Source organism: Homo sapiens, chromosome 11 (genome assembly GCF_000001405.40).
Source record: "Homo sapiens chromosome 11, GRCh38.p14 Primary Assembly".
Taxonomy (NCBI): Eukaryota; Metazoa; Chordata; class Mammalia; order Primates; family Hominidae; genus Homo; species Homo sapiens.
In genome coordinates, this window is record NC_000011.10 from 5,187,566 (window position 1) to 5,213,890 (window position 26,325).

The following is a 26,325-nucleotide window of genomic DNA, read 5'->3' on the forward strand; positions in this document are numbered from 1 at the left end:
ACTTGAAGAATTTTTTTTTGAGCAAATGTTTTCAGTAAATAATGATTTCTGATAAATATAATATGCAAGAGGGCAGTGATCCAAACTACGGCTGCTGTGATACAAGTACCATGTTACTACTTTAAAACACACCTTCAGCAATATTCTATGCAGATGAAATAATAGTTATTGATATGTTTAATTTAATATGTTTAGTTTTCTTATAGAAGTCTACAGTCTTTGAGCCACATGCTTTAGAAAAATAATTTTCCAATTTTTATGAATGTTATATAATATTATTGACATCAAGTAACAATATCATTGGAATCTCGGTATGCCCTTAATAATCATATATCTATATGATTATCTAATATACCTAGATATTTTTGCAGGGAACATGTAAGTATTATGTAGAATAAATAAAGATTATAAAAATTCTCACATAAGTTCATGTCAGAAATTGCCATCACTTTAGAGCAGATTGTGCTGTTAAAAGACTCAGTTTTTAAATTTCTATGGATTTCAAGGAAATGGATAAATGATTGTGGCCCTGTTAACCAAAATAGCAGTAAAAATGGCTTTGGCTACTGATTTAGTATCTGTAAATTAAGGATGTTGGATTGCTTGAGATTTTAGCTCTAACTCTGCTTCAATATGTAAGATACTTCTAATTGAGTCTAGATAATTGTTCTATAGGTAAATTAGTGTCCTGGATGCTAGTGCTTCAGCCAAAAAATGAAAAAGATACAATTAAATGAAAGCCTTTATCTTACTATGGGACTTGAGTGGAGGAAATCCAAGAAAAGAATTCCAGATGATCCTTTCTTCGAACAAGTAATTTGGCATAATTGGACACCTGGTTTCTTCTCATTTGTAAGTTAGTAAAGCTGGGAGTTGGTGCTAGTAAAGCTGGGAGTTGGTGCCAGAAAAGAGAACAGAAATATTAATTTATTTCTTCCTTGTTTGTAGGCTGTAGAGCAAGCTTGTCCAACCTGTGGCCCGTGGGCTGCATGCATCCCAAGATGGCTTTGAATGCTATCCAACACAACTTTCTTAAAACATTATGAGATTTTATGGGACATTTTGTGATTTTTTTTTTTTTTTGGCTCATGAGCTGTCATTAGTGTTAGTATATTTTATGTGTGGCCCAGGGAAGCCAAAAGATTGGACATCCCTGCTGTAGAGTTTCTCAGTGGTTGGAATCAATATTTGCAGAGTCTTGTAGCTTTTTCAAAGATTTTTCCCCTGCCACATTGAAGAATAGCTTGAGCAATAGCCACTCTTCTTTCCAGGTGGAGTTTGTGAATTACTTTAGAGATGATCTTTATCTGGGAAGAATTACTAATATATTATCTCTTCGTTTAGCTAACGTAAGGTTATTAGATACTTTTCTTTAAGGAAGGATACACCAGGACCTGCCTTAATAAGGCTTGATGACATTTATCTTCCTTCTAATACATCATAATATGTGTGTCGTGCAGAGATAAACTTGTATAGAAGCCAATACGACTGCTTGTATTAAAGAAACAAAGTTTAATTCATCGTTTTGTTGTTGTGTTTTGCTTACATTTTATGTATTTTGTTGAATTGTGTTTAATCACAAGAGTAATGCATGCCTGATATGGTTTGGATCTGTGTCTCCACCCTAATCTCATGTTCAGCTGTAATCCCCAGTGTTGAAGATGGGGCCTGGTGGGAAGTGATTGGATCATAGGAGCAGAGTTATCATAAATAGCTTAATATCAGTCCCTTTTGGTACGTATAGTGGGTGAGTTCTCATGAGATATGGTTGTTTACTACCTCCCTGCCTCTTCTTCCTGCTCCAGCCATGTGAAGACACATGCTCCTGTTTTTCTCTCTGCCATGATTATAAGTTTCCTGAAACCTCCCTAGAAGCTGAGCAGACGTTGCCATGCTTCCTGTACAGCCTTTAGAACTGTGAGCCAATTAAATCTCTGTTCTTCACCATTTACCCAGTCTCAGGTATTTCCTTATAGCAAGATGAGAATGGACCAGTACAGAAAATTGGTACCAAAAGTGGGGTACTGCTATAAAGATACATGAAAATGTGGAAGCAACTTTGGCATTGGATAACAGGCAGAAGTTGGAAGAGTGTGGACGGCTCAGAAGAAGACAGGGAGATGAGGGAGAATTTGGAACTTTCTAGAGACTTGTGGAATGGTTGTGACCAAAATTCTGATAGTGATATGGACAATGAAGTCCAGGCTGAGGTGGTCTCAGATGGAAATGAATTTATTGGAAACTGGAGCAAAGGTCACTTTTGTTATACATTAGCAAAGAGGTTGACTGCACTGTGCCTCTACCTTAGAGAATCTGTGGAAATTCGAAGTTGATAATATTATTTAAGTTATGTGACAGAAGTTTCTAAGCAGCAAGGTGTTCAAGATGTGTCCTGGCTGCTTCTAACAACCTATGCTCATATGTGTGAGCAAAGAAATAACATAAAATCAGAACTTATATTTAAAAGGGAAGCAGAGCATAAAAGTTTGGAAAATTATCTGCTCGGCCATGTGGTAGAAAACAGAAGCTCATTTTCAAAGGAGCAATTCAAGCAGGCTGTAGAAATTTGCATAAATGAAGAGGAGCCGAGTTCTAATAGCCAAAATAAAGGGGAGAATGCCTCAAAGACATTTCAGAGACCCTTGTAGCAGCCCCTCACATCACAGGCCTGGTGGCCTAGGAGTACTGAATGATTTTGTGGGTGAGATTCAGGACCCTGCTGCCTTGAGCAGCTTCAGGACACTGTTCCTTGCATCCTGGCTGCTCCAGCACCAGCTGTGGCTCAAAGGGGCCCAAGAACAGCTAAGGCCACTGCTTCAGAGGGTGCAAGACATAAGCCTTGGAGGCTTCCACATGGTGATAAATCTGGGAGTGTGCAAAGGTCAAAAAGTTGAGGCTTGTAAGCCTCCACCTAGATTTCAGAGGATGTGTAGAAAAGCCTGAGTGTTCAGGCAGAAGCCTCCTGCAGGGGCAGAACCCTCATGAAGAACCTCTAATAGGGCAATGTGGAGGAAAAATATGAGGTTGGAACCCCCTCACAGAGTCTCCACTGGGGCACTGCCTAGCAGAGCTATGAGAAAAGGGCCACCGTCCTCCAGACCCCAGAATGGTAGATCCACTGACAGTTTGCACCGTGCACCTAGAAAAGCTGCAAACACTCAATACAATCTCTTAAGAGCAGCAGCAGGGGCTAAACTGTGCAAAGCAATAGGGGTGGAACTGCCCAAGGCCTTGGGAGCCCACCTCTTGCATCAGTGTGTCCCTGATATGAGACATGGGGTCAAAGGAGATTATTTTGGAGTGTTAAGGTGTGTATTTGTCCGTTTTAAACTGCTATGAAGAAATACCCGAGACTGGGTAATTTATAAAGAAAAAGAGATTTAATGGACTCATAGATCCACATTGCTGGGGAGGCCTTACAATCATGGTGGAAGGTGAAGGAGGAGCAAAGTCACATCTGACATGGTGGCAGGCAAGAGAGCATGTGCAAGGGAAATGCCCTTTATAAAACCATCAGATCTTGTGAGACTTACTCACTATCATGAGAACAGCATGTGAAAAACCTACCCCCATGATTCAATTACATCCCAGTGTGTTCCTTCCATGACAGGCAGGGATTATGGGACCTACTATTCAAGAAGAAATTTGGGTGGGAAAACTGCCAAACCATATCAAGGTGTAATGACTGCCCTGCTGGGTTTTCTACTCGTGTGGGATCTTTAGCCCCTTTCTTTTGGTGCATTTCTCTCTTTTGGAATGGGAATTTGTACCCAATGCCAGTACCTCCATTATGTCTTGGAAGTAACTAACTTGTTTTTGATTTTACAGGCTCATAGGTTGAAGGGACTTGCCTTGTCTTGGATAAGACTTTGGACTTTGGACTTTTGAGTTAATGCTGGAATGAGTTAAGACTTTGTAGGACTGTTGGGAAGTAATGATTGTATTTTGTGATGTGAGAAGAACATGAGATTTGGAAGGGGCCAGAGGTGGAAGGATATGGTTTGGATCTGTGTCACCACCCAAATATCATGTTAAATTATAATCACCAGCGTTGGAGGTGGGGCCTTGTGGGAGGTAATTCAATCATGGTGGCAGAGTTCTCATCAGCGATTTAGTACCATCCCCCTTGGTACTGTATAGTGAGTTCTCAAGAGGCTGGTTGTTTGAAAGTGTGTAGCACCTCCTACCCTGCTTCTCCCTGTCCTGGCCATGTGAAGATACTTGCTCCTGCTTTGTCTTCTGCCATGATTGTAAGTTTCTTGAGGTCTCCCTAGAAGCTGAGCAGATGCTGCCATGCTTCTTGTACAGCCTGAAGAACTTTGAGCCAATTAAACCTCTGTTCTTTATAAATTACCCAGTCTCAGGTATTTTTTTACAGCAGTGTGAAAACATGCCAATACAATGCCAATAACACATCCAATAATAAATGATATTTAATGCCACCATTAATAATTTTTTCTTCTTCCTTCCTTTGATACTCAATGTGATCAAGATTTGGGAGTTAATCATTTTACTCCTCTTTACTCATGTCCAAAGTGACATGAAACCTGTATCTAAGTGTGTTATCTCCATGGGAAGATACTAAATCTTTTATTTATCATCTTATTTTTAATAAATCATAACATTACCTGTTATTAAATATTAATCTATTTCATTCTATGCAATAGCTGTCTGAAACTAAGTCAAAGAATGTACCATACTTTATTCACTATTTGTCTATTATTGAATATCTATATTTGTTTGAGGAATAATAATCAGAACAGAAGGATATGAAAGACTATAGGAATGGAAGTTTCTCAACAGCAAGATAAAATAGGTTAATGGAGTAATATGTAGAGAATGATGACTATAATTAAAGAAAATGAATTAAGCAATATACAATTAAAGCTCTTTATGTCTTTTCACAGCTTGATAGACCTTTATTTATATCACTGAATAATATTCTATCCTATGGATGTTCCACAGTTTATCCATTCATCTTGGTTACTTTCAACTTTTGGCAATTATGAGTAAAGTTCCTATAAACCTTGGTTAGTTCATGTCTGTGTGTGGACATAAATTTTTGACTCATTTGGGTAAATACATAGGAGTGTGATTGTTGGGTCACATGAAAAGACTAGTTTTGTAAGAAACTGTAAACTGTCTTCCAATTTGGCTGCACTATTTCTCATCCCTACAAGCAATAAGTGAGAGTTACTGTTGCTCCACTTCGTTGCCAGTGTTTGGTGGATGTCAGTATTTTGGAATTTGGCCTTCTAATATGTGTGTAGTGGTTGGTATCTTCTTGTTTTAATGTGCAGTTTCTTAATGACATGTGTTACTGAGTATATTTTCATGTGCTTATTGCAATCTATATATCTTCTTTGGTAAAGTGTCTGTTCAGATCTTTTGCCCACTTTGCAATTGGATTGTTTGTTTTTTATTGTAGAATTTTAAAAGTTCTTTGTATAATATGTATACAAGTCCTTTATCAGATAATATGTTTTGCAAATATGTTCTCTGTGGCTTGTTTTTTTCATTCTCTTAACTTACCATGAATTTTTATTTTATTTTATTTTGTTCTGGGTATTTTGTGGATACTCTCAATTTCAACTGCTGTGTTCTTTTGTTCAGAAAATTGTCTTGTATTGATCTCTAGTAAGTTCCTTCTACATGTTCTATTTTCACTCTCTCCTGAACTCCAGTTAAGATTTTGGAGTTCCTGACTTCACCCTATTTTTTCCTCCATGCCCCCCATATTTATTCCTTTGTCCTTTTTTTCTGCACTCTTAAATCTACTTCCTGTCCCCCTTATTGGCTACTTCATCTCATCTCTCATATTTTTGCTTTATTTACTATTTATCATGCCCTCTATTTTTTATACTATTCTGTTCAAATATCAAGGATCTAAAATGAGTGGTTATTTAATTAAGAATATTTATTATGCACCTCTTTTATTATTAGCTTTTATTTTCTGCCCTGAATAAGCTGTGCTCCAAATAAGTTTTCTTTATTAAAATTGATTCTAGGTATGTAATTTTTGTGTTGGTGGACTTAATTGCATTCCTGATAATCTTTGTCCATCCTTCTGTGTCCGGAATTGGTGGGTTCTTGGTCTCGCTGACTTAAAGAATGAAGCCGCGAACCCTCGTGGTGAGTGTTACAATTCTTAAAGATGGTGTGTTCAAAGGATGGTGTGTCCAAAGTTTGTTACTTCAGATGTGTCCAGAGTTTCTTCCTTCTGGTGTGTTCACGGTCTTGCTGGCTCCAGGAGTGAAGCTGCAGACCCCCACGGGGAGTGTTACAGCTCTTAAAGGCGGAGCGTATGGAGTTGCTCATTCCTCCTGTCTTGGGTTGTTCATCCCCCATGCTGGGTTCGTGGTCTTGCTGGCTTCAGAAGTGAAGCCGCAGACCTTCGCAGTGAGTGTTACAGCTCATAAAGGCAGCGCGGATCCAAAGAGTGAGCAGCAGTAAGATTTATTGTGAAGAATAAAAGAACAAAGCTTCCACAGCATGGTAGGGAACCCAAGTCAGTTGTCACAGCTGGCTCCGGCAGCCTGCCTTTATTTCCTTATCTGACCCCACCCACATCCTGCTGATTGGTCCATTTTACAGAGAGCTGATTGGCCCATTTTACAGAGAGCTGGTTGGTCCGTTTTGGCAGAGTGCTGATTGGTGCATTTACAAACCTTGAGCTAGACACAGAGTGCTGATTAGTGCATTTACAATCCTTTAGCTAGACACAAAAGTTCTCCAAGTCCCCACTAGATTAGCTAGACACAGAGCACTGATTGGTGCATTTACAAACCTTGAGTTAGACACAGATTGCTGATTGGTGCATTTACAAACCTTTAGCTAGACATGAAAGTTCTCCAGTTCCATATTTCATGGTGAGGAACAAAGAATATAGTGGGGATCCCCACCATATTCTTTGTTCCTCACCATGAAATATGGAACTGGAGAACTTTCATGTCTAGCTAAAGGTTTGTAAATGCAATTTATTGCGGCACTATTCACAATAGCAAAGACTTGGAACCAACCCAAATGTCCAACAATGATAGACTGGATTAAGAAAATGTGGCACATACACACCATGGAATACTATGCAGCCATAAAAAAGGATGAGTTCATGTCCTTTGTAGGGACATGGATGAAATTGGAAATCATCATTCTCAGTAAACTATCGCAAGGACGAAAAACCAAACACTGCATGTTCTCACTCATAGGTGGGAATTGAACAATGAGAACACATGGACACAGGAAGGGGAACATCACACTCTGGGGACTGTTGTGGGGTGGGGGGAGGGAGGAGGGATAGCATTAGGAGATATACCTAATGCTAAATGATGAGTTAATGGGTGAAGCACACCAGCATGGCACATGTATACATATGTAACTAACCTGCACATTGTGCACATGTACCCTAAAACTTAAAGTATAATAATAATAAAATAAAATAATTTTAAAAAGAGTATAGTGGGGATTTCTATGAACACGGTACAATTAGTTATCTGGCCAGTTACTTTGAAGGCTGATCAGAAAGAAGCCTAGCTAATCCAGTAAGCGAATACTCAAATGCCAATATCTATTAGTCCTTTCTCTTGAGACAGTTTATCATCATTCAATATGTATTCTTTTGCATAATCTCTCTGTTTCATATATTACACCTTAGTCCTGGCATCCTTTGCACTGAATTTCCCAGTGTCTGGATCATCATTGATTTGGTTACTACAGACACTAATCATTTTGCCAGAACTAAAGAGAAATGAGTACCTGGCTATCTTTTAGGCAACCTTAAACAGGTATTCACCTTTTCTACCATTTTTAGCCCTACCCCTCACGAATGCTTTATAAGTAATTTCTGTGTTTTTCCAGAAAATGCTCTTTGCAGATAACGTTTTTTCTCATTGGTATCCTTTTCTGTAGACATATAGATTTCAGATTATCCTGTTCTGTTTTTTAAAAAATCATATTTAAATGTATATACTTATCAATTTGTTCATACATATTGTGCTATTTTCTTCACAGTGTCTCTGTGTACATCTATAGCTTTAGTGGATTAGAGAAAGTAGCAGAAATGAACACATATTCAGTCTGCCAGGTTTATATGTAAATTGACACTTTCACTCATATTTCTTAAATTTATATTTTATTATTCAGTACAGAAAAATACATAAATAAAAGTACAGTTTGTTAAATTGACACAAAATTAGCAAAAGCTTTTAACAAACACTCAGACCAAGAAAGAGAACATTACCAGCATCTCAAAAGCTAAACACCGATTGATTCCTCAGTTCTGGCTGCAACCTGAAAGCCTGCATTTTCTATGTGCCATTACATGGTGCCAAGACTGCAGGGGCAGAAACCACACTTTTACTGGAAAAGCTTTAGGACATCGACTCCTACTGCAGGGGTGTTCTTGGCTAGGTTGGCATTAATTTTTAAGTTTCTGCAAGAGACTTCTGGGAAAATGGACTATTTTTATTTCCTTCATCTGGAGGCCTCTATTCACTACTCTAGCAATTATCTTCTGCAAGTAATGGTAACAAATATCCTAGGGAATGGAGACACAACCTCAAGTAGAACATCTCTTAAGTCTGTTTAACAATACGATTTTGATAAGCCTAGGAAAATAGGGAGGTATAGTGTAGAGCAGTCCTGGCCACTTACCAGTACTGGTCCGTGGCCTGCTAGGAACCTGGTCTCACAGCAGGGGGATGAGCAAGCATTACTGCCTGAGCTCCTCCTCCTGTCACATCGGCAGTGGCGGCATTAGATTCTCATAGAGGCATGCAAGGGATCTAGGTTGCGGCTTCTTATGAGAATCTAATGCCTAATGCTCTGAGGTGGAACAGTTTCATCCTGAAACCATGCCCTCCTGCACCTTGTCTTCCACAAAAGCAGTCCCTGGTACCAAAAACATTGAAGACTGCTGGTGTACAGTGAACATCTGCCTGTGGATTTATTATTAGCAGATCATTTTTACTAAAAACACATTTCTAATCCTGAATCATGTCCTCTCACTTCTAAGAATCACTGATTTCTCCCACTGGACCTTAGCTTTTCGGTGTAAGAGTTAAATGAATAGCAATTGAATGGACTAGACTTTCTGATTTTCTGAATCTTACTTTTGTCACCTTGTTCTCGGCAATATTTTTGTTTTCTCCTTATTATAATAACCGTGACTTCATTTAAGGCAGCAGTTACAATGATATGACAGTCTACCTATTAAAAAAAAAAAGGCAAAAGAGAACTGTGTTTCCCTAACATCACTGTGGCTGTTTTCGTAACGTTTCTCAGTGACGCTGGATAGTAGCCTTGCAGGCCTTACAAAGGAATCTGATAACTGCTTCTCACTGGCTCTGCAGGCTACCACATCAACAACAGTTTCAGCTGTTGTTGCCTAATTCATGGAAAACAAGTTTCCTTAGAAGCTGGCTTTTTGAGATATATGGAAAAATGTCTCCACCTGGCTACTATGTAGCTTTTCAAAACAGACAGTGTTTTAAACACCTGTGATGTCTCCATCTGCTCTTCCTTTCAGGACCTGGGCTGATGTCTCTGAAATTGCCTTTTCTTCCTCAGGAGAGGTTTAGTTATTTTTTTAAGTAATTGCTTCCAGATAGAGGCCTTTGCAAAACAAACAATCTAAACTACTAATGTTCTAAACCTGTTTCTTTCTGTATAAAGCCCAGTAATCATATAAAGTTTACTTTCATTGGCTTTTTTTTTTTTTTTTTACTGATTTTCCTCCCTTTGGCTGAATTGTAAAGATTCTGAAGTTCTTCATAAATCTTATCATCATAGTACAATTATATAGCTCTAAAATAAGCAATGATTTCTGAGGATACTCTTAGGTATTTTTTATTAACTGTTTTGTCACGGCCATTATTTCAAACTATTTTGGTTCACATTCTATAGGTTGCCTAATCTGAAGCACAAACACTCATAGTATGAAGTCTTCAGATGAGCCTTCCTACTCTCCCTGTTAAACATAACTCTCAAACCAACAACTCAGTTGTGTCAGACATGTAATATTGTTCAAATAATAAATATAAATTCATTCTGATGCTTCCCTATGAGTGGCTGGTGGAAAACATATTGTCAGTTGTTGAAGAATTCTCTGCTTCCCCAGTGTTGTGTCAGCTCTCCGGCGTATGGGAGGGTGGATGCTTATTCACTTTCAAAGCATTAGAAGGAAGCTTCTTTGGCCATTGAGAAATCTATGAGACATTCACATGACCTCTACAGATTCAGCAGCTAACTTCTCTTTTCATTATAAAACTGGGGCATAGGAATCTTGTCAGATTGGCCACATTCCAGTCGGCCAGGAGGGACCATGCAGACATTTATTATCATTAGGGAACCTGGAGCAGTACTACCACCTGACATTCATATCAACTTTTCTTTTTTTTTCTCTTTTTTTTTTTTTTTTTGAGACAGAGTCTCTCTCTGTCGCCCAGGCTGGAGTGCAGTGGCGTGATCTCGACTCACTGCAAGCTCCACCTCCCGGGTTCACGCCATTCTCCTGTCTCAGCCTCCCGAGTACCTGGGACTACAGGTGCCCGCCACCACGCCTGGATACTTTCTTGTGTTTTTTTAGTAGAGACGGGGTTTCACCATTGCTGGCCAGGATGGTCTCGATCTCCTGACCTCATGATCCGCCCGCCTCGGCAGCTACTATGATTATATAGTAAAAAATATATATATTGACATTTTCCCCTCTAGAACCTACCTCACAGTTTTCACTTCTGATAGCTATACCAGAAGATGCACTAGATCCTCTTTGACATCAGGAAATTCACTCCTTTATCCTTCAAATTAACCTTATACTGTAACCCAGAAGACCTAATTTATTGTTCTAGGAATAATTTTACACTTATCTTTCTAACCAGATACTTTACTCTGTCCAGAAACAATTTCCTCACTTTGAGGCTTAAGCTATTAGAAACCAAAGCCTGTATTTTTGTTTCCCTCTGAGTCAAATAAGTAGACAGAGGCTATGTTATTGAATGAAGTCCAAAGTGAAAGGAAAGGAAGGCATAATTACAGGAAGACAAATCTGGTTGTTTTAGTTGATATCTAAAAATAAAAATAAATATTTGCTTTTTGGTGTAAAATGACTCTTATGCATTAATTTGTCCAATTTTAACACTTACCTTCTTAGATACCTAATAGAATATAGGAAGATTAAAACAATTATTTTCTTGTTATCCATGCATAGTTTTGTACCTGATTTCCTTCCTTTCTTTCCTTCTTTGGAAAGCTGCACTAGCTTACTTAGAAAAGAACCGCTTTATGTTCTTTTATCTTTTTTCTTTTAAACTCAGAATAAGTCGGTAGCGGACAGTCTCATCTGTTCAGAAGATCCCCCACTTAGATATAAAAGCAAAAGATCTAGAGCAAAATCTGCTTCCAGCCTTGTAGCAGTGGAGTCCACATATAAAATCTAAAAAATAAGGATTCTAATTTAAATTAGACATGGTAGAAGTTGAATCCAAAGTCATATTTCTTTGTGTCCTCTTTATGAACTGTAGCTTCCCTGTCCAATATAGTGGCTGCTGAACTGAACTGTCCAATACAAGGACATTAAACATTTAAATATAAATTAACTTAAAGTAACTGAAATTGTAAATGCAGTTGTTCAATTACACTACCATCATTTCAAGCGCACAGGAGCCATATATTCCACTTTAGCCATTTTATGGTATTTTATAGAACATCGCCATCAGTTTAGAAAAGTTCCCTTGGACAATTCTGGTCCATACAGATATCACAACATTCCTGTGAGTTGGCTATAGTCTCCATTTTGAAGGTTAATTAAGTAAACCTCAGAGAATGAAAGAAACTTCAAGTTTTCTACTTTGAAACTTGAAAACCTAGGTTTTTAATCCAGCTTTGTTTTACAGCAAAGGAAATGCTCAAAAGTACATTTCAGGCAAATAAACAATTTTTTCCTCTTTCTTAAATATGGTCAGACTGATAGAGTGACCTACATGTGTCCAGGCTGACACAATGGAACTTGTTTGTTGATTCTCTGACTATATTTAAATATTTTTTAAGGTCATTTGTCATGGACTCAGAGTAAATCTACAATTTTAATAATTTTTTCTTTTTTATGGCACTGATTTTTGTTTATTATTGTTGCTGCTTTTCTTTCTTTTTTTTAGGCAATACATCTCAATATCTCTCAATATCTTTTCAGAGAAAAGAGTCTAAGCATTCTGGTATGAATCTGTTGGGTCTTGACACTGTAGATGATGGGATTCATTAAAGGTGGGAAAAGGATGTAGATGTTGCCAATGAGAACGTGGGCCACGGGGGAAAGGTGCTTGCCAAAACGGTGCACCATTGTGAGGCTAATGATAGGGATGTAGAACACAAGGACAGCACAGATGTGGGAGATGCAGGTCTGAAATAATTTATGCCTCTCTTCCTGAGAGGCAACTGCCAGGACTGACTTAAGAATCAGGATGTAGGAGAAAAGGATGAGTATAGCATCCAACAACAGTATGCAAATAACCAGCATCAGGGCATAGTAACTATTGAATCGGATGTCTGAACAGGCTAAGCGGAGAAGATCCTGGTGCAGGCAGAAAGAGTGAGAAAGGATGTGGAAATGACAGTAATTAAAAAATTTCAGACAGATGATGGGGGGTGTAATAAAGAAAAAACTCCTACCTATTATAGTGAGCCCAATTTTGATAATTCTGGAATTAGTCAGGATGGAGGAATAACGTAGTGGATTGCAAATTGCAATGTACCGGTCAAAGGCCATAGTGAGGAGGACAGAGGACTCCATGAAGGACAGACCATGGATGAAATAGGACTGGGCAATGCAGGAATCCAAGCTGATCTCTCGAATGATCCCCCACAGGATCCCCAGCACTGTGTACACAGTGGACAGCCCCATGCACAGGTCAGTGAGGGCCAGCATGGACAGGAAGTAAAACATAGGCTGGTGCAGGCTTGGCTCAGTCCATATCACATGGAGAACCATGCAATTGCCCAAAAGCACCATGGCATAGATTGAGGAGAAGGGGATGGAAAGCCAGGGGTATTGCTGCTCCATGCCAGAAAATCCAGTGAGAAGAAAGGAAGAATTCGTGCTGGTGCTAGGGCTTACTGAAGTAATCATTCTGGAACTGAGAAACATGTGAGAGTATTTTTTCAAAGGAAATGTTTCAATTTCACCTGAATACAATGAAATTTCTAAGTAAATGAAATACCCTAAAACTTACTGACTTAAAAAAAACAGCTGAGAAATTCTGTTTCTTTGAGACATAGTATCCATTGCCTTTGAGAAAATGGTCTTCTTTTGATGTCATTTAAAAGTCATTATTTTTTCACTGTCTGGATGTGAACATATCCTTAGAAGCCATAAGCAAAAACAAATAAGGAAGAGATTAGTAAAAGGAGAAGGCTAGTTTTAAAAAAATACGTTGCTTAGACATTTTCCCAAGGATAGTGGTAAAAATTTTATACCAGTAAAGAGCCGAGGTTCTTGAAAAATTATTTTCTTCTCTCCAATTCATTAAACATTCGAAGTGAAGAGTAATCTTTGGGCTTTAAATATCATAAGTCTATTAAATAGTCACTTTTCCGTCATTTTCCATTTTGTGCCGTCTCCAAGTATATTTTTTCTCCAAATACTATTTAATGAAGATACTCCTGTTTTCTCCCCCTCCAGATGACGTAGCCAGCAATTACTTTTTCTTCATTGGTGATAAGCAGACAGGAATATTTATGCATGAGACCTTGGGTAAATGATTTCTCACTGGAGCTCTGGCCTCTTGAGATGTTCAACTCATTTGTGCCTTTGTGATGTAGAGAATTAGATTGAAGACACTGAGCCTTTGATAGCAGCTCAGTGCTTCCCATTCCTTTATTTATTCAGTTAATGAGCTGATTAACTATTTATTCAATATACATTTATTCAATGTATTGGCCAATTGTGTTTTCTTTCTTAGAACCTGCAGTTCTACAGATCACAAAGCCAGGCTCAAACAAGCAAGCTTATAATTTCAAAAGCCTCATGGTAGCAGAATCAATTGGCTTCTTCTTTACATTGTTTGCCTGCTTTAAGTTCCAGACCTGAGAATCATCATAAGTTTTTTTAAAGCTCTAATAATGTAAACAGATGTTCAAAAGTCCATACTTTCATGTTTGATTGAGTAACTTCGAGATGTTAAAGTAACTTCAGATTTGGGCTGCCCTTTATGTCCTACTTTTCAGCTTTGTCTTATTAGCCTCACAACACAGTTCCACAGACTTTCTTCTCAATGTACTCTCTATACTACACTGACGTCTTCTAGCAGTCTAACCATTGTTTTTCTTGCCCTGACTCCTTCTCAGCATTGAATAACTTAGCTCACTATTTTTAATACTTTTTTCTCCATAGAATGCTTGAAGTTTCTTCGTTTCTTGCAGAGGATTTTTCAGTCTTTTGAATACGTATCTTCTTTCATTTCTCTAAATCGAATTTCTCTTCTTTCGTAAAATTTTTCTCGAAATGTTCTATCTGCCTAAATTATTCATCATCTTTTCCTCAATTTCTTCCTACCCTTTTTAAAACGATCTTGCAACTCAACAATCACTTTTCAAGAAGTTTCTTAAGACAAATTTATCCATATATCTATTATTTTGGTATCATGTTTCAATTTTAAATAAAACTTATAATTTTGTATTTATTAGCTAAATATTTAACTAATATTTAAACTAAATATTTAACTAATATCTCTGTTACAAACTAAATTCTCAGTTCCTTAATGTGCAGACTATGTCAACTTTTTCTTATTATTTGAAACTAACATTTGCACCTCTGATTCCTGACCACTCCTGAGAGCTCAAATTCATGAATACAACTGGCTATTTAATATATTCATCTGAGTGTTTAATCTTAAAATAAGAATGATGCCAATAAAGTACTTGATTTTCCCCCCAAAATCTATTTTCTGTCCCTTTTCTCCTAATATTATAAAGTGACTCCACCAATAACACAATTGCATAAGACAAGTCTTGAGTCATTTTTAAAATTTTTTATTTCTCTCTTTCCTTCCCTTTCCTCTCTCCATCAAATCTTTCATCAATTTCTACCATTTCTACCAGAAACACATCCCAGATAGGCCCACTTTTACACATTGCCCGTCTTGGTTTATAATATCATTGTTTCCCTGGCTACTATGATAATTTATTAAATTAATAATAATTTAATATTATTACTAGCTAATATCATGATTTATCTGTTTGTCCTCTAAAAAATGTATTATCTCCAGGGAAACCAAATTGCTTTTCTACAAACATCTACTAAATCACACAAACCTTTGTTGAAAAAACTCTTTGATGGTCACTTACCCATTGCTCGTAATGTAAAATACAAATTCTTTATCATAGTCAAAAAGCCTTGTATAACGTGGCTCACCTGCCTCTTCTATTACATCTTTAGACCACTACTGCCTACACTCCTTAATATTTAGGTATCTTTATCTTCCTCAAAACAAGCTAAGTACATGCATGTCTCAGGATCTTTGCCCATGGTCTTCTCTGTGCTCCGAATTATCTACCCCAAGTATTTGCACAGCAATTCCTTTCACCATTAACTTTTGAGTTAAAATGATTACTTCCTCAGGGGGATTTTTCTAATACTGCTCCCCACCTAGATTATCTCATTTCTTCAACCCCCTTAACTAACTTACTCTCATCACAGTATACTAGTTTATATTTATACCACTTATTATACACTGAATTTCCATTAGATTCATTAGAGGCTGTAGAAGATTAGGAACCATATCTGTTTTTTGCTCAAGAATATGAAAAATAAGGGTTAGCATAGAATGGGCACTTATCAAATAATTTTTAATTAATTATTCTATGAAATAAGAGCTAGACAATCACAGAGATATAAAGATAATATGAATGTGAACACTCCTATCAAAGTGTGTGTAAAATCATCTGTGTACACTTAGTCTTTTCTGACCTTTGGCCACCAATTGAGTCATCATATACCAAGTTTGAATGGTTTATAAAACAGATGCTGCTCCAGGGATCTTGCTGACCTTGAATACAACACTCCAATTTCAAACATGATTTCTCTCATTTCCAGCCTGACTCAGACATATCGTCAAGGATCTGGGATTGATCACAAAAGATTTAATATTCTGTGAATGTAGGTATGTGTTAAAAGTATCTACTTTCAGCCAGGCTTGGTGGCTCACGCCTGTAATCCTAGCACTTTGGGAGGCCGAGGCAGGTGGATTGGCTGAGCTCAGGAGTTGGAGACCAACCTGGGCAAAATGGTGAAACCCTGTCTCTACTAAAACACAAAAATAATTAGCTGGGCATGGCAGTGTGCTCCTGTAATCCCAGTTACTTGGGAGACTGAGGCAGGAGAATTGCTTGATCCTGGGAGGTGGAAGTTGCAGTGAGCCGAGATCGCGCCATTGCACTCCAGTCTGGGCGACAGAGCAAGACTCTGTCCCAAAGGAAAAAAAAAATCTATTTTCATGCAGGTTTCTTCAGACTGACTACAAAGGCTTCAGACTAGCTACAAAGCTTAAAAATCTACTTTCATTCAGGCTTCTTCAGACTAGATACAGAAGAAATGAGACCATCTAGATGGGGAACAGTATTATCCATGTTGCCACCATAGAGACTATCAGCCTTTTGGGATTACCAGAGCAAAATACATGTTGGAGGATTTTTTAAAATATGTTTTGAAAGGTAGGATGAAAGAGCATAGTTTTGATAAGGTAAATAAATGAAGATTTAAAGAAAAACAAGATCAATATGTCAGGTGTGCCAGATGCTCCACCTGTATTTAAAAAACAAAAAGATTTACAGTTTTCCAAGACATCATGTTGTGTTATGCTATCTGAGAGTCAGTGTATGGTATCTCAGTCTGAGTTCCCAGCAACCAGAACAATGCCTATAATAAAATAAATAGAGAAGACAAATAGCAGTGAATTTGAGTCTGGAGAAATAAAAGGGTTTTCGTATCCCCTCTGAGCACTGTCTGGAATGTTGACTTGGAAAGCAAATCTGTGATTATAATAACCAGGTCATTCTTTCAGGAGTCTTTTCTGATGCCCTCTGATTAAAACTGACCTACATATGCAGAAATCTCTTGGTTTTTTTTTTTTTTCTGTCTTTTCAGAATAATTCCCTGTGTGATTACTTGCTTACTTTAAAATAGGGTAATGACCAATAGTCATTGTTCCAAAGACATAGAGAAAGTATATTGTGTTTAAAAGACAGCTTCTTTATAATTCTATAGAACTAAAACATTCCTATTTGCCAAGGCAGTGGAGTTTTTGCTGTTCTTAGAACATAATTACTGAAAGACACCCACACATGTCCTGCCTTGGACAAAAAATTGTATGTCCATCCTTTAAAGGTCATTCCTTTAATGGTCTTTTCTGGACACCACTAGGGGTCAGAAGTAGTTCATCAAACTTTCTTCCCTCCCTACTTCAGTGATGCATAAGGCAGATCTGCTTTAGTGTAAGCGAGGTCAGGCCCTCAAGAGTCTTGGGATGGCTGAAGAGGTAAGAACATTCTATAAGACTTGTCCAAAGAACTGACTGTTTAATGATTCTGAATATGCTAGTTCAGAGAGAATCTATTTACCACAAACCTGAAGTAGGCTTAAATTTCCAGTTTACCTGAATGGTTATGACCTAATTAGAGGAATGACTTTATAAACATATATAGATACAAATATATAGTGTATATTTATTATATACTATATATTTATTATATATTATATAAGCATAAAATGTAATAGATTATTGTATATATTTAATAACATATTATTACATATTTTAATATATAATATATAAAATGTATTATATTTAATATATAATGCATGTAATATATAAATATACATTATATATTATATATTATGTAATAAATATATATTATGTATATACACATTTATCTAGACTTTATTACATATTTCATTATATATTTTATAAGATTTCTATAAATAATATTCCCATCATTACTAAAATATTTTTTAAAAATTAGCCATACCTTAGAAGCATTATAAAAAATATATGACATGGTCCATCTGTTCAACTGTAGCCATCTAACCATTTGAGAAGTTTTTATAAGATTTATAGCATTTGATTGTACCATGACATAAATCATCTCATGCAAGATAGTGTATTTGTTTTGTTGGCTTTAATATGTTCCCTTTTCTTCAGAAAATGTGAGACAGCTTAAAATAAAATTAACTATAAGAAACTGGTAAACACTGAATGAAAGAAGAAAACCAAGCAGAAAAGTAAAAGGAGGTTACAAATAAATTTATATTTTAAAAACATTTTTTATTTGCCTGGCAAATAATAAGTGCATATATTAATGGATACAATAATAATATATAATATAAATATATAATATATATAATATGTTATGGGATACAATGTGATGTTTGATCTATATATACATTGTAGAGAGAGTCTATCAAGCTAATTAGCATATGAATCACCTTCCAACTTTTTTTGTGGTGAGAACATAAAATATTTATTTTTTAGCAATTTTTAATTTAAATACATAATATATTATTAACTGTGTTCACTATGCAGTGTGAGAGATCACTAAAACTTATTCCTCTAGTCTAACTGAAGATCAACTTCTTTCCCTTCCCATCCCTCCTCTACACTCTCAGTCAGCCTATGGAACCATCTTTCTATTCCCGTTTTTATGAAATCAACTTTTTAAAAAATTCATCCTTAAATATATTAAAATGAACAGTTAAATTTATGAGGATAAATAATTAAAACTATTACACATATTTTAAGTTGTCCTCTGAAAATTCTAGAATTCTACTTCAATACCCTTATTTTTAAGATAAAGGAAATTGTAAAGGCTTTCTAAGAAATCGAGTACCCATACCTAGGCTGCTAGACTCCAGGTCCAATTTTTCTCCAGGGGGTTACTATGGCTTCAGGGAAGCTATCTATAATCACCATCTCCAGAACATCTCTCACTTTCTCATCACCACACAGTGGAATAAGAATAGTTTTGGCAGCAATAAAAAAGTAATGCCATATCAAATTAGTAAAGCCTTCAGAAAAAGTATGAATATTACACAGTTACACTTATATTAGAACTAAAATTTATTTATTGAAATTCACATTACCATAATTATTTATGTCTGATTAAATGTTATTAAAGCTAAAATTTTGAATTTATATACTACTATTAATTTCCAGTTCTATCTTTCTGTTCAAGAAAAGAATGTGAGAAGTAAATTAGTGCCTCAAATTTGCCTACTTCATCCCCAACAGAGGAGATCATGACTATATCAATAATGGAGCCTGGGCCCAGACAACTGGTTAAGAGAGAGGTCATTCTGACCTCAGAACATAGGAGAGATGGATATTGTACACCACAGAGTCCAGGATGACTAGCAGTGAAGGATTCAAATGCCTGGCGAAATCTCCTATACAACCGGAGAGACCCAAGTCCCCAAAGACAAGAAGGGATGATGAAATGGCCTCTGCATGACATGACTTGCCTATGAGCCCTCCCATTGCTATAAGGATGGGGATCTTAGCACAGTGCCTTGTGTGAACAGTAATGCTAGCCTTGATTTTACCATGGCAAGTTTGTTTAGGGAAAAATTCAACCCACCCATTGAAATTCCAACCTCAACCAAATGAGGGATGGCTGGGGATGCAACCACAAAGATACTGTATCTTAGGAGGGGAGTTTTTTTTTTTTATAGAAACTCGTCAGGATATTATTGCTAGGATGTGTTGTTACTGGGAAAAAAGCTGATGGAATACAAAAGAGTAGACATCCCCACAGGGATTATTTGAGGCAATCAGTGACTAACATGACCACTTTGCTTTCTCTATGCAGGTGTCATCTATTGTGATATAGTGCCAGGAGGTTGCCTTTGCTGTGGCTTTCGACCCTAGATTTTTAAATTGTGTGACAAACCCATCTTTTATTTATGTAAATAAAATGTCCGTGTTTATTGGTTATTGTTATATTGTGAAATTGTAGTAGATCTAAAATTGTAATTTCTTGGATTCCTAGAATTTCTAAATCTGTGGATTTTTAGAATTCTCTAGAGGTGACAAAGGTTTATTATCTAAGCTACCGGAGCTATGTACTTTTGGATATAAGAGTGTCTCCATCTCCATTGCCTTACAAATCAGGTGTGAGCCAGGCATGTCTCTCAGACTGGAAAAGGTAACTAATCAGAAGGAACCATTGTCCTAGAATGGGGCAAGTGTACAATACCCAGAAAGACCACTGGTGCCGTAGCATATAACATATTCACTCAATCCTTCATACCCTTTGTATCGTTTTTTTTCTGTTTTATTTATTTTATTTATTTATTAGAGATCATAGTGTGTGCAACACCTATGTCCAGGTTCTGTGGTAAACGTCAGCGTGGAGAAATTAGTAGCTATTAGATCATAAAAAGGTGAGGCATAATCATATTTGTCTTTGAGAAGCTGACTGTGGCTATAGGTGAAGAAAAAAATTATAATTTTAGTTTTATTATTAATATCACCATGATCATCATGATAAAAAGTTAATATTTACTGGGAACTTATTTGGTTTGTCATTTTTCGAAGGAATTTATGTTAATTTACTCACTATAAGAAATTTATAAAGTAGATTCCATTATAGCTCTTAATTTATTATTGAGGAATGTAAGGCATAGAGAAGTAACTTATCCTCAAAACAAAGCTATTAACTTATGGACCTGAGAGTAGAGCCCGGGCTGTCTCATGCCAGAACCTATTATCCCATGTTGCAAGACACAAATAGGAAAATAGAACCGGTTAGAAGTTATTGAAGGGCATGAAATAATAGTGGTTTGAAATTTGAGTAGAGTAGGACCAAGAAAATGCATATTTCAGGGAATACCTGAGAGGAAAAAAAAAAACTATGAAGGAACGCAGTAATTAGCTCCTTAGCTGAAAGAATGATCTTCTGGTCAGTGAGAACTGGTTTCAAATCTTGGTTTTGTCATTTCTTAGGTATATAATTTTTAGCTCAACACTTAGCTGCACAATTTTTAAAAATATTGTTGGTATGATGATAATATATAAAAACGGCTCATTATCTGCCACTCAAAAGCTATCAGTATTTATGATAATAATTCTAGTTGTGAGAAATTGATTATTAAATATATATAAGGGATAGAAGAGAGTGGAGAGTAAAGGCAAAAATGATTGACAAAATTTTGTCTTGGAAATCTGAGTGAACCATTCATCAAGTTTGGAAGCATTAGAGGAAACTGAAAGAAGTGGAGGATAATTTACTATCTTTTCAACTCGCTGAGTTTAAGAGGTCCATAGGTCATATAAGTGGAGGTGACCTGTAAGCTATTGTAACATTTTTTTTTCATGTCCCAAAATGTTAATGTATCCCTAACAGAGAGCAATGAAGTTCTTTTTAGTGGAGTTTCTCTTTCTTGACATAGTACCATGTAGTGAAGACACTGCTGACTTTGGAATTGAAAGAATCTTAGCTCAGCTACTTACTAGCTGAGTAGCTACAACACCTTAATGCCCATCCCAAGACAGTGTGTGTAAAAGACGAATAACAACATCTCAGGAAGCACAGGATGTACCAGAGAGCACCATCTTTTCATGTTGCTTTCCTAGGCTTTTTATTTCCCTCCTCTAGGTATTTCTGTTATTTTCCTTTTTTCATTATTTCTTCCCTCTTCTTCAGGAAGTTAAGACAGTCTACCTAGATTTAGAAGCAAATGTTTATATAGTGGTGAAATTTAAAGCCTAATTGACTAAAGCCATTTAAGAATGTAATATCTCAGTTAGTATGCACTTCTTGAAATGCAAAGAAATGGTCTGACTTTTTTCCATTGTTTAGTTTCTAAATTTAGTTTTTATTTTAATATTTTAAGTACAGCATGCATATATAAAAGTACACAAATTATACATGCACAGCTGAATTAACTTTTGGAAGGTGAACACACCCATGTAACAACTAATAAGATAGGAAATTAAAGAGTAAACATATGCTCACTCTTTATCATTCCACTAATTGTCTCCAAAGTTAATAATTATCCTGATATAATTCATTTTTATCACGATTGACTCATGTCCCTTTTTTTAAAAGTGTGTATACATTGAATTATACTGTGTTGCTTATGTCTGACTTTATTCAATATTATGTTTGTGAATTGCATTCATACTAGTGTATGACTGTAGTTGATTTTTCATTTCTGAATGTCATTCTATTTTATGTATATACCACAATATATTTATTGACTCCACAGTTGATAGATATTTGAGTACCTTCTAGCTTTTGGCTATAATATAAATTGCTGCTATGAAGATTCTTATATATTTTTGTATATATATTCTGTAAATTGCTAGGTCATAAAATATGCATATGTTCAACTTTAAAATACACTGCCAACCTGTTTACCTCCCCACTATAATTTAATGTCATTTGGTCAACCTATAATATCATAGATGTTTTCTCTTATAGCAGCCTGCATGTGCCCAGATTTTGAATTTATCCTTTGTATATTTACATTTAGTTCTGTATTATTACAATTAGTTCGTAGACCTGTTATTATTATTCTCATTTGTAGTTGAAGAAATTGCACTCCAGCAAGTTTAAATTGCTCCTGGCTACATCCCAGAAAAACAATAATAAATGAAAATACTTTTTGCCCCTACTTGACTAGGAATTGTATAAAGAGAACAGTTATTCTTCTAGTGGGAAGCAAGCTGGCCTCAACTGGAACAGAATGAGAGAAATGCAAGACATCTAATAATCCAACAGTCCCACACCCCACTAAATGTACTTTTTCCTTTTCCCCATGGAGTCAAGGCTATCTAAACTTCCTTTAAGTGCACAAGCTAATATGGTAGGGAAATATAAAGCCTAATCCTGCCATCCAGAATGAGCAAGTGGATGGGGAAAAGGGAAGGGAAAAAGGAGCAGAATCTGCCAAGTCTGACCTAATGCCCTCTGTTTCTCCCACTTGCTCTGCAGGATGGCTTAGCAGCTCCCAGCTCAGGGCCTATCAGAGGCTGAGAAGGTCGGCCCTCTGATGCATTTTATTCCTTCACTAACAAAGCAAACCCAGCTTTACTTCTACCCTCTCCTCTATGCACTCTCTCGGGGCACTTCCTAATCTCGTTAGTACCTTTTGAATTAGTTTTCAAGATAGGACTTGAGTTCCTCGAAGGATTAGAAAATAACAGTAACAGTTCATGTTGTCTGGGCCAAGCACAGTGGCTCACACCTGTAATCACAGCCGAGGCCGGAGGGAGAACGATTTGAGCTCAGGAGTTGGAGACCAGCTTGGGCAACATGGAGAAACCCCTCTCTACAAAAAATTTTAAAAAGTAGCCGAATATGGTGTTACGTGCCTGTAGTCCCAGCTACTTGGGAGGCTGAGGTGGAAGGATATCTTGAGCCAAGGAGGGGGAGATTGCAGTGAGCAAAGATTGTACCACTGCACTCCAACCTGGGCAACACAGCGAGACCCTGTCAAAAAAAAAAAAAAGAGAGCTAGAAAGAAAGAAATTAACAATTCAGGTTGTCAGAAGTAACTGAATGTCTTTAACAAATAGGAGCCATAGGACTAAATTGCTCACATTATTTTGAGGGCAAAAATTACATTGTCATTATTTTTTACCTCCAACATATATACAGTTTTTATATTTACTATATAGGAACACAATAAATGCTTGTTGCATAAAATCAAATTACAAAGAAGGACAGAGAATCATTAAATTACTTTCATAATGCGCATAAAACAACATTTTGTTAGACTTAAAAACAAGCTGATTATAACTATAAAAAGATATGTGACTAATAGGTGGAAAGAGGAGCAAGGAAGAATAAAATGGGAGGAAAGAACTGCTAAAGACTCACGATGGTTTGTTACATAGCTAAACACATGTCATGGGTTTGTCGTACAGATTATTTCATCTCCCAGTACTCAATAGTTACTTTTTCTGCTCTTCTCCCCGTTCCCACCCTCCAAACTCAATTAGGCTGCAGTGTCTTTTGTTCCCGTTATGTGTGCATGTTTTCTCATCATTTAGTTCCTACTTGTAAGTGATAATATGTAGTATTTGGTTTTCTGTTCTTACATTAGTTTGTTAAGGATAATGGTGTCCGGCTCCATCCATGTTCCTGCAAAGGACATGATCTCATTCTTTTTTATGGCCACATAGTATTCCATGGTGTATATGTACATGTTCTTTATCGGTATACCACTAATGGGCCTTCAGGTTGATTCTATGTCTTTGCTATTGTGATTATGCTGCAATGGACACAGGTGTGCATGTGTCTTTGTGATAGAATGGTTTATTTTCCTTTAGGTATATACTCAATAATAGGATTGTTGGGTTAAATGGTATTTCTGTTTTTAGGTCTTTAGGGAATTGCCACACTGCTGTCTACAATGGTCGAACTAATTTATATTGCCACCAATGGTGTATAAACATTCCCTTTTCTCCACAACCTTACCCACATCTGTTATTTTTTGACTATTTAATTATAGATATTTTAAGTGATGTGAGATAGTATCTCATTTTGGGTTTGATTGGCATTTCTCTAATGATCAGTGACACTGAGCTTTTTTCATATGCTTGGTGGCCACATGTATGTCTTCTTTTGAATACTGTCTGTTCATGTCCTTTACCCATTTTTTGTGGCATTGTTTGTTTTGTTCTTGTAGATTCATTTAAGTTCCTTATAGATTCTGAATATTAGGCCTTTGTTGGATGCATAGTTTGCAAAAATTTTCTCCCATTCTATAGGTTGTTTACTCAGTTGATAGTTTCTTTTGCTGTGCAGAAACTTTATTTTAATTAGATCCTATTTGTCAATTTTTGCTTTTGCTGCAATGACTGTTGGCATCTTTGTCATGAAATCTTTGCCCCTGCTTATGTCCGGAATGGTATTGCCTAGGTTGCTTTCAAGCATTTTTATAGTTTGGGTTTTGCATTTAAGTCTCTAATCCATCTTGAGTTTATTTGTGTATATGATATAGAACGGGGTCTGGTTTCAATCTTCTACATACGGTTAGTCAGTTATCCCAACACCACTTGTTGAATAGGGTGTCTTTTCCTCATTGCTTGTTTTTATCAGCTTTGTCAAAGATCAGATGGTTGTAGGCATGTGGTCTTATTTCTGGGCTCTCTATTCTGTTCCATTTGTCTGTGTGTCTTTTCTGTAACAGTACCACACTGTTTTGGTTACTGTAGCCCTGTGGTATGGTTTGAAGTTAGGCAATGTATTATCTCCAGCTTTTTTCTTTTTCTCTTTTTTTTTTTTTGTACTCTAAGTTCTACGGTACCTGTGCAGTTTGTTACATATGTATACGTGTGCCATATTGGTGTGCTGCACCCGTTAACTCGTCATTTACATTAGATATATCTCCTAATGTTATCCCTCCTCTCTCCTACCACCCCACGACAGGCCCCGGTGTGTGATGTTCCCCACCCTGTGTCCAAGTGTTCTCATTTTTCAATTCCCACCTGTGAGTATTAGGATTTCCTAGGCTATTTGGACTTTTTTTGTTGTTGTTCCATATGAACTTTAAAGTGTATTTTTCTAGTTCTGTGAAGAATGTCATTGGTAGTTTGATAGGAATAGCTTTGAAACTGTAAATTGCTCTAGGCAGTATGGACATTTTAACAATATTGATTCTTTTTATCCATGAGCATGGAAAGTTTTTCCATTTGTTTCTATCAGCTCTGATTTCTTTGAGCAGTGTTTTGTAAATCTCATTGTAGAGATCTTTCAACTGCTTGGTTAGATATATCCTTAGGTATTTTATTCTTTTTGTGGCAACGGTAAATGGGATTGACTTCCTGATTTGGCTCTAGGCTTGGCTATTGTTGATGTATGGGAATGCTAGTGATTTTTGTACATTGATTTTATATCCTGAAACTTTGCTGAAGTTATCAGCTGAAGGAGCTTTTGGGCCTTGACTATGGTGTTTTCTAGATACAGAAAACAGGGATACTTTGACTTTCTCTCTTCCTATTTGGATGCCCTTTATTCCCTTCTCTTGCCTGATTGCTCTGGCCAGGACTGCCAGTACTATACTGAATAGCAGTGGTGAGAGAGGGCATCCTTGTCTTGTGCCAGTTTTCAAGAAGAATGCTTCCAGGTTTTGCCCATTCTGTATGATGTTGGCTGTGGGTTTGTCATAGATGGCTCATATTATTTTGAGGTCATGTCCTTAAATAGCTAGTTTGTTGAGAGGTTTTAACATGAAGTGAAGTTGAATTTTATCAAAATCTTTTTTTGCACATATTGAAATGATCATGTGGTTTCTGTTTTTAGTGCTGTATATATGATGAATCACATTTATCAATTTGT

At 36.6% G+C, this 26,325-nt stretch overlaps 1 protein-coding gene across 1 annotated transcript, besides 8 other annotated features; it reads right to left on the reverse strand.

Moving 5' to 3' along the window:
* Positions 6,069-6,851: a mobile genetic element, noted in NCBI's record as "3' beta LTR similar to the ERV-9 enhancer upstream of 5'HS5". NCBI's record gives the evidence for it as "EXISTENCE:sequence alignment evidence [ECO:0000200][PMID:9878258]".
* Positions 6,069-6,881: a biological region, named in NCBI's record as "hereditary persistence of fetal hemoglobin-3 3' breakpoint enhancer". NCBI's record gives its function as "regulatory_interactions: HBB-3'HS1 | HBE1 | HBG1 | HBG2".
* Positions 6,145-6,881: an enhancer, noted in NCBI's record as "0.7 kb HphI fragment F1 or core HPFH-3 enhancer fragment". NCBI's record gives its function as "activates embryonic and fetal globin gene promoters when juxtaposed next to them in transfected erythroid cells or transgenic mice" and the evidence as "EXISTENCE:reporter gene assay evidence [ECO:0000049][PMID:7537267, PMID:16720553]" and "EXISTENCE:transgenic organism evidence [ECO:0001131][PMID:7537267, PMID:12855570]".
* OR51V1 (olfactory receptor family 51 subfamily V member 1) lies at positions 12,170-13,117 on the reverse strand. Its single transcript, NM_001004760.3, has one exon. The coding sequence runs from the start codon at positions 13,115-13,117 to the stop codon at positions 12,170-12,172; it is 948 nt and encodes a 315-aa protein (NP_001004760.3).
* Positions 16,306-20,061: a matrix attachment site, noted in NCBI's record as "matrix attachment region; scaffold-associated region; SAR". NCBI's record gives the evidence for it as "EXISTENCE:fractionation evidence [ECO:0000100][PMID:8490185]".
* Positions 16,533-18,803: a DNaseI hypersensitive site, noted in NCBI's record as "3'HS1, includes at least three sub-sites; the nucleotide coordinates are approximate for this feature". NCBI's record gives the evidence for it as "EXISTENCE:in vivo cleavage assay evidence [ECO:0001075][PMID:8490185]".
* Positions 17,374-17,445: an enhancer blocking element. NCBI's record gives the evidence for it as "EXISTENCE:reporter gene assay evidence [ECO:0000049][PMID:11997516]".
* Positions 17,401-17,416: a protein binding site, noted in NCBI's record as "core CTCF-binding site". NCBI's record gives its function as "enhancer-blocking activity" and the evidence as "EXISTENCE:protein binding evidence [ECO:0000024][PMID:11997516]".
* Positions 18,625-18,654: a protein binding site, noted in NCBI's record as "AP-1/NF-E2 binding site". NCBI's record gives the evidence for it as "EXISTENCE:protein binding evidence [ECO:0000024][PMID:8490185]".

Coding starts and splice junctions, on each gene's coding strand:
- OR51V1 (NM_001004760.3), bottom strand. CDS start 13,117: ATGATTACTTCAGTAAGCCCTAGCACCAGCACGAATTCTTCCTTTCTT.